Genomic DNA, 8,259 nt, shown 5'->3' with positions numbered 1-8,259 from the left:
CACCTCTGTGCCCTTAGGGCCTCTCCCTGCAGACCCGGAAGTGGGTCTTGCTGGGAGCAGCAGGAGTCAGTGAGGAACAAGCCCTCGCCCTGAAGGCAGGTGTGGCTGGGGCCACTTTCAGAACACTTGGGCTGTGGTTGGGATGTCCGGGGGCTTTGAAAACACGAGTGCACACAGGTGCCACGCCACAGGTGCCACGCGGGGGTCTTGTAAAGAGGGCTGGGGTGGGGCTGAGAGCTTCCCCCTGCACACTCCAGGTGTGCTGATGGCCTGGGGCCCCTCTTTGAGAAGCAAGGCCCTAAAAGCTCTTCACACATGATTTTATCCACACAAGTATCCTGAGTTAGGTCCTGTTAATAGCCCTGCCTTCGGACAAGAAACTGGTCCTGCTGTAAAATATCTTGCCCACAGTCACAGCTCTGGTGGCAGAGGCAAGACGAGCCGAGGTCATCTCGCTGTGGGGGTTGTGGGGGTGCTCTGACCCTCTCCACTGCTGACCCTGGGGCTCCATGAAGGAGAGTGCTGGAGCGAGCTCTGATAGTGACTCTGGATGAGGTCCTTCAGTCAAGCCTTGATAAAAGGGCAGCGCTCAGCCTCGCCTGCCTTGGTCTCACCAGCTTGGAAAAGAATCTGTCCATCTGCATTTACCCAACACAGTTTACTTCCTTTCGTCAACCGAAGAGCCATTATTGCCACAGTCTCAACCCAGAGGCAAGACGGAAGCTGTCTGGCTGATAGGTCTGCCTGGGAAGCGGATGGAGGGCCCTGGGAGGTTCCCCTCGGGCGTTTTGAAATCCTGGACATAGGTCAAGGCGCCTTCCAGTGCTGGCCGTCAAGACCCAGTGACCCACAGGCTCACGGCCTGGTGGAGGGTTTCCTGCTGTGTGAGGCCCAAGTAAAGGTGGGTCCCCTTTACAGGCATCAGGTATCAGGTGTGTTACCAAAGCCAGGAAATGCCAGTAGGCCCTGGAATGGCAGGTGCTAAGCAGAGCCTGGGCCTTGGGGCTGGGTGGCAGCCAGGAGTCAGTGGTCAATTGGTCAGCCTGCGAAGAGCCATTTTGTTCACCCGCACTTGGTTGAATGAGGTGCTGGGGGAATGCAGCAGAGAGTTCCCCTGCCTCCCTGGACTTTAGGACCTTCTGGGATGGACAACCTGACACCAGACAGCGAGTGGAAGTTACCAACTAGAGGCCCTGAGAGAAAATAATAAGGAGCTGGTCTTTGTCTTTTACAGTGAAAAGTATAGTTTTGTTTTTTTTTTTGTTTTGTTTTGTTTTTGAGACAGGATCTTGCTCTGTCACCCAGGCTGGACTGCAGTGGTGAAGTCATGGCTCACTGCAGCCTCAACTTCCCAGGCTCAAGGGATCCTCCTGCCTCAGCCTCCCTAACAGCTGGGACCACAGGTGCGTGCCACCATGCCTGGCTAACTTTTGTATTTTTTGTAGAGATTAGATCTCACTGTGTTGCCCAGGCTGGTCTTGAACTCCTGGGCTCAAGCAATCCTCCCACCTCAGTCTCCGAAAGTGCTGGATTTACAGGCATGAGCCATTGTGCCCACCCTATTTAATCAATTTTAATAATAAGCTAATGCTTCTCCCCCTCCTCTTTTTTGGTTTATTTTTTGGATATGAAGGTGTTTACATACACGAAAGTCAAGCTGTCTAAAAAGCTATAATCTGAGAATCCCTCCCGCCCCTGCTGCTCTGCCCCATTTCTACCCATCATGCTTCTTCCTGCATTCCTTTCTTAGAGAGCTAATGTTTGGGAGTGGGCAGTGACTGACAGCCTCTAAGGAAGTGACATTAATGCGTCAACCATACAGTTTAAGTACACCAAATAATCACAAGGAAATTTTGCCCCTACCAGAGGGGGCAAACAGGCACCTGGTGAGTCATTTTCATTCATGCCACAAAAAACACTTGCTAACTGGGCTTTTGTGTGGGCACCAGGGTGCCAGCTACTAGGCTGGAGGTGGTGCAGGCGTGGAGGGTTGGGAGCACAGGATTGGCATCCTGGGGGCTTCGGGCACATCTCAGTTTCCTCCTCTGTAATGTGGAGGTGATGATGCCTGTTTCTTTCTTTTTTTTTTTTTTTGAGACGGAGTCTCGCACTGTCGCCCAGGCTGGAGTGCAGTGGCGCGATCTCGGCTCACTGCAAGCTCTGCCTCCTGGTTTCACGCCATTCTCCTGCCTCAGCCTCCCGAGTAGCTGGGACTACAGGCACCCCCAACCACGCCCGGCTAATTTTTGGTATTTTTAGTAGAGATGGGGTTTCACCGTGTTAGCCAGGATGGTCTCAATCTCCTGACGTCGTGATCCACCCTCCTCGGCCTCCCGAAGTGCTGGGATTACAGGCAGGAGCCACCGCGCCCGGCTGATGATGCTTGTTTCTGAGGGTTGCCAGAATTCAGTGAGACCTCAGATGAACACAAGGGCTAAGCTCATTGAGGGTTCACCTGTGCCAGGCCATTTCCAACCCTTTGCTCCCAAAAAGACTGCGAGGTTAACGTATTATGTTCCTTATATTATTTTATTTATTTTTTGAGATGGAGTTTCGCTCTTATTGCCCGGACTGGAGTGCAATGGCACGATCTTGGCTCACTGCAACCTCCGCCTCCCAGATTCAAGTGATTCTCCTGTCTCAGCCTCCCGAGTAGCTGGGATTACAGGCATGCGCCACCACGCCAGGCTAATTTTGTATTTTTAGTAGAGACGGGGTTTCTCCATGTTGGTCAGGCTGGTCTCGAACCCCTGACCTCAGGTGGTCCACCCACCTCAGCCTCCCAAAGTGCTGGGATTACAGGCGTGAGCCACCGTGCCCAGCCATATGATCCCTATTTTATAGATGAGGACCCTGAGGCACAGAAAAGATGCCCTGGCTCGACAGCCCATGCTGCTAACATTGACTCCACAGTCCCAGGTGCCTCCTAAGCGCTCTGTTGGGATAACTCCTTGTTTCAAACATGAAGTGTGAATCTTCCTTCCAGGGACTCATGGCCTAGTCAGGGGAAGGACTCAGAGTAGCAAGTGGTTCACCCCAATCCAGAATCCAGTGTGAGAGGCCTAGTGTGAACTCAGGACAAAGGAGGGTGGGAATGTGTCTGGTATCATCAAGGAAGGTGTTTCAAAGGTACTCGGCCTGAGCCTTGAGATGTGAGTGGGATTTTGCTAGGGAAAGTCATTCTCAGCAGAGGCAACAGCATGTGCAAAGGCCCAGAGGTAAGAACTAGCATGAGATACTCAGGGAGGTCCAAACGGAGTGGGAGGGAGACAAGTCACAGTGGCTGAGGCTGGAGAAGTCCGATCCTGCAGAAGCAGGCTTGCATCCAGAAAGCTCTCCCACTCCCTAGCTGCAAGCAGCTCGGCCTTCTTGAGCCCTGATTTCCTAATCTGTAACATGGGGAGAATTGTCTGCACAGAGGCTGTTATGCCCCCTTAGCCTGACCCCTTCCGGGCCCACTCGCCTGACTTCCATCAGGCAGCACCTCCTGGACCTTGGGGAGCTGCTGCTGGGGGAGGGGCACGATGGAAGTTAACTTGGGGAATGTGAATCTGGCAACAGTGGGCAGGGAGATTGGAGAACAGAGAAAGGAGGCAGGAAGAAGGCTTAGGGAGCTGAGGTCACGACCCAGGCACGAGGTGTCCGGGAGGCCAGGATGACTGAACTGCTTCAGAACAAGATCTGTTCTTTTTTTTTTTTGAGACAGAGTCTCGCTCTGTTACCCAGGCTGGAATGCAGTGGCAAGATCCTGGCTCACTGCAGCTTCCGTCTCCCAGGGTCAAGCAATCCTCCCAAGTAGCTGGGATTACAGGCGCACGCCACCATGCCTAGCTAATTTTTGTATTTTTAGTAGAGACGGGGTTTCACCATGTTGGCCAGGCTGGTCTCGAACTCCTGAACTTGTGATCCACCCACCTTGGCCTCCCAAAGTGCTGGGATTACAGGCAGGAGCCACTGCGCCCAGCCGGTCTGTTCTTAGCAGAATGAGAGACAGGGAGAAATCGAGAGGCTCTGGGGCTGCCAGCCTGGGGTCCTGGGACCACGAGCATGGCAGGATCACTGATGGGAAGCTAGCTTGGGTAGGGGAGGGGCATATTCTCAGCCCCAAGCCAAGGAGGGGCAGCCAGCAAGAGAGGTGCTCAGCCAGAGGAGTGGGGCATCGGGAGGCGGCTGGTCAGCTCAAAGCAACAGGGTAGTGGGAAAGGCAAGGCTGGCAAAAAGGGGCCCTGCCTGGCCATTTCCCCCGATTACCCTCTTTTCAAAATTGAATTACAGGGCCAGGCATGGTGGCTCACGCCTTGCTATTCCCAGCACTTTGGGAGGCTGAGGCAGGTGGATCACCTAAGGTTAGGAATTGAAGACCAGCCTGGCCAACATGGTGAAATCCGTCTCTACTGAAAATACAAAAATTAGCCAGGTATGGTGGTGCATGCCTGTAATCCCAGCTACTTGGGAGGCTGAGACAGGAGAATAGCTTGAACCCGGGAGGCAGAGGTTGCAGTGAGCCAAGATTGTGCCATTGTACTCCAGCCTGGGTGACAAGAGCGAGACTCTGTCTCAAAAAAAAAAAAAAAAGAATTATAGACCAGGTGTAGTGGGTCATACTTGCAGCAATTTGGGAGACTGAGGTGGGAGAATAACTTGAACCCAGGAGTTCAAGGCCAGCCTAGGCATCATAGTGAGCCTCCATCTCTATTTTCAAAAATAAAAATTAAAAAATTGAATTGTAATTTATGCACAGAAAAATGCACACATCTTGAGCGTACATTTTCCTTTTTCCCTTTTTTTTTTTTTTGAGACGGAGTCTTGCTCTGTTGCCCAGGCTGGAGTGGCGATCTCGGCTCACTGCAACCTCCAATTCTCCTACCTCAGCCTCCCGAGTAGCTAGGACTACAGGCACACACCACCACAACAAGCTAATTTTTGTATTTTTAGTAGAGATGAGGTTTCACCATGTTGGCCAGGCTGGTCTCGAACTCCTGACCTCAGGCAATCCACCTGCCTCAGTCTCCCAAGTGCTGGGATTACAGGCATGAGCCACCACACGTGGCCTGGAGTGTACGTTTTTCTACTCCCGTGTAGTCACTGCCTGGATGAAGATGTAGGTGCTTGTTAATATTCCAGCACATCTCCTCATGCCCCTTCCCTTCCACACCCCGCTCCCCCATACACACACAGGTATCCACTCCTCTAAGTTCTATCACAGGTTATGTGCGGAGTGAGAAGGGAGGCTTGGAGCTCAAGAGAGGAAGAGGAAGGCCTGAGCTGGGACACTCTCACAGGCTCGGCTGGTGGGAGGAGTTTGTTGTGAGGTCGAAGAGGCCTGCAAGTGTTTTGGAGGCCACAGAACTCTTGAGCTGGGGGTGTCCAAGAGTAGACAGCAAAAGATTCTGAAAAGGAAGGAGGGGAGGGACCAGGGAGACTTTGACCTGGGACAAAAGAAGGGGCTGGGTTTCCTCTGCACTTGGTCTCGTCACCTCCCCTCTGTTTTTTATCTCCTTCAAAAATACAAGCTCCAGCCGGGCGTGGTGGCTTCTGCCTGTAATCCCAGTACTTTGGGAGCCTGAGGCAGGCGGATCACGAGGTCAGGAGATTGAGACCATCCTCGCCAACATGGTGAAACCCCATCTTTACTAAAAATACAAAAATTAGCTGGTCATGGTGGTGAGTGCCTGTAATCCCAGCTACTCAGGAGGCTGAGGCAGGAGAATCGCTTGAACCTGGGAGGTGGAGATTGCAGTGAGCTGAGATCGCACCACTGCACTCCAGCCTGGCAGCAGAGCGATACTCCGTCTCAAACAAACAAAATAAATAAATAAATAAATAAAAATACAAGCTCCTGAAGTCACTGGCCTGCTCCTAGGGGGTAGCATCCCCTCTCCATTCACTGCCTGCCCGCTTCCTACCCTTGGTGCTCCCAACCCAGGGTTTCCTAAGGGAGAATGGATCAGGCAGACCCCTGAAGCAGCTCCAATGGAAGCCCCTTTAGTGCAGCATTATTTTTATTTATTTATTTATTTGAGACAGGGTCTTGCTCTGCTGCCCAGGCTGGAGTGCAGTGACAGGATCATGGCTCACTATAGCCTCCACCTCCCAGGCTCCAGTGATCCTTCTACTAGCTAGGGCCACAGGCATGCACCACCATGCCTGGATAATTTTTCCTTTTTTTTTTTTTTTTGGTAGAGACAGGGTTCTCTCTATGTTGCCCAGGCTGGTCTCAAACTCCTAGGCTCAACCCATCCTCCAGCCTCAGCCTCCTGAAGTGTTTGGATTACAGGCATGAGCCACTGCGCTTGGTGAGCAATGCAAAGTGTTATAGCAAAGTGAAATATTCTCTCTCTCCCGTCCTCTCCTCCCTCCTCTCATCTCTGCTTTATTTCAGAAACAGATGTGGAAACAGTTATGGCTAAGAATGCTCAGTCCCCATGGCCTCTTTCCCAGAGCCTACAGCACAAGCGCCCACAGGAACACAACTGGTCATTGGAGAAGTCCACACATTCCAAGCTCTGACCTCACTCTGCCCAATGACCAGGCATCCGTAATTTGTTCTCAAAGCAGCCTTCTCCAGGGTCTGCCTATTTCCCGCCTGCATGTGGGTCAGGGAGGGAGAAATGCCCAGGTGCAGGATAAAGGTTGCCATGAAGCCGTCTTTTTCTCCTTCTCCTCCCTCTGTCCTCCTCTTCTTTCACCCTAGCCTTGGGCACCAACAGCAGCTCTCTATCCTTTCAAGTGGCCCACGTGAAGTGGTGTCCCGTAGCCTGCTGAGGTTCAGGAAGGTAAACATCCAGTGTTTGACTTCACCAAGGTTGCCGGTGCAGGAAGGGCTGATGGGATAAGCAGAGGGTTCAGCCCTGAAGCTGTGGGAGGAGCACTGCCCCTTTAAGAAGGCAAACCTCACAGCTGTAATCCCAGCACTTTGGGAGGCCGTGGCGGGCAGATCACCTGAGGTCAGGAGTTAGAGGCCAGCCTGGTCAACATGGTGAAACCCCGTCTCTACTAAAAATACAAAAATTAGGCGGGGCGTGGTGGCACACGCCTGTAGTTCCAGCTACTTGGAAGGCTGAGACAGGAGAATTGTTCGAACCCAGGAGGCAGAGGTTGCAGTCAGCTGAGATTACGCCACTGAACTCCAGCCTGGGTGACAGAGCAAGACTCCATCTCAAAAACAAACAAAAGAAAGGCCCACCTGGGGCAAAGGATGCCTACAGATAGTAACCTGGGCTCCTCCACGGCCCTTGAAGAATGTCTTCTCAAGTAATTATGCCTCCCAAGGACTTTCATCCCAGCATCTTGAAAGCACGTAGTGTAATTAACTTTGAAGTCACCCCATCCAGGTTTACCAAGGGCAGGCCTGAGACCTGATGAGTCACTGCAGCTCTGCCACTCAGGCCTCTTGGTTCCTCCTCTCCCCTTTTCCTCCCTCTTGTTGCAGCTTCCCTGAGAAAACCCAGGACCTGGCTGGGGGCGGTGGCTCATGCCTGTAATCCCAGCACTTTGGGAGGCTGTGGTGGGCAGATCATGAGGTCATGAGTTTGAGACCAGCCTGGCCAACACAGTGAATCCCTGTCTCTACTAAAAATATAAAAATTAGCTGGGCATGGTGGCGTGCATCTGTAGTCCCAGCTACTTGGGAGGCTGAGGCAAGAGAATCGCTTGAACCCGGGAGGCGGAAGTTGCAGTGAGCCGAGATCGTGTCATTGCACTCTAGCCTGGGCGACAAAGAGAGACTCCATCTCAACAAAAAAAAAAAAAAGAAAAGAAAAGGAAAACCCAGGACCCAGCCTCCCCAGCTCCCTGCATGCCCCTGACCCAAAGGTGGACCTCCCTTTCCTGATGGCATGTCCCGGACAGGTGACTACATCCGGGGATTTTGTAAAGAATCTGAAACATGTTCCTGGTGATTCCAGGAAAACTGATAGGAAATCCTTCTCTGTAGCCTGTTTTTGTTCGCTTGTTTGTTGGCTACGTAAGTTTGAAGTGGGACTCATCTCACCGAGGATGGAGCCACAGGTCACATGTGCAACTGAGAGAGACAGAGAAAGGAAGCTTCTTCTCTCTTGTGTCTCCTACTCAGGATCCTTACACAGCAATCTGTGAATCACCACCAGCTGCATACCTGATTCACTCACACACACACCCCAGGTAGCGCACCCAATCGGAATGGCCTTGTTCTGCTTGCGGATGGCCATTGATATCCTGAATGTCACCACCCCAACAAGAAGGGCTGCGTGAAGTTGGAAGCATTTTCGGTTGCTGGCT

General features: G+C 52.3%; 3 annotated features.

Moving 5' to 3' along the window:
- Positions 1 to 708: an enhancer, noted in NCBI's record as "H3K27ac-H3K4me1 hESC enhancer chr22:38685971-38686678 (GRCh37/hg19 assembly coordinates)". NCBI's record gives its function as "activates a minimal SCP1, AML or CMV promoter by ChIP-STARR-seq in naive H9 embryonic stem cells {active_cell/tissue: H9 hESC(naive)}" and the evidence as "EXISTENCE:reporter gene assay evidence [ECO:0000049][PMID:30033119]".
- Positions 709 to 1,418: an enhancer, noted in NCBI's record as "H3K27ac-H3K4me1 hESC enhancer chr22:38685261-38685970 (GRCh37/hg19 assembly coordinates)". NCBI's record gives its function as "activates a minimal SCP1, AML or CMV promoter by ChIP-STARR-seq in naive H9 embryonic stem cells {active_cell/tissue: H9 hESC(naive)}" and the evidence as "EXISTENCE:reporter gene assay evidence [ECO:0000049][PMID:30033119]".
- Positions 6,644 to 7,170: an enhancer, noted in NCBI's record as "H3K27ac-H3K4me1 hESC enhancer chr22:38679509-38680035 (GRCh37/hg19 assembly coordinates)". NCBI's record gives its function as "activates a minimal SCP1, AML or CMV promoter by ChIP-STARR-seq in naive H9 embryonic stem cells {active_cell/tissue: H9 hESC(naive)}" and the evidence as "EXISTENCE:reporter gene assay evidence [ECO:0000049][PMID:30033119]".

Source organism: Homo sapiens, chromosome 22, assembly GCF_000001405.40.
Source record: "Homo sapiens chromosome 22, GRCh38.p14 Primary Assembly".
NCBI lineage: Eukaryota > Metazoa > Chordata > Mammalia > Primates > Hominidae > Homo > Homo sapiens.
The sequence above is the reverse complement of the archived record's forward strand: the minus strand, read 5'-3'. Positions and strand labels throughout refer to the sequence as shown.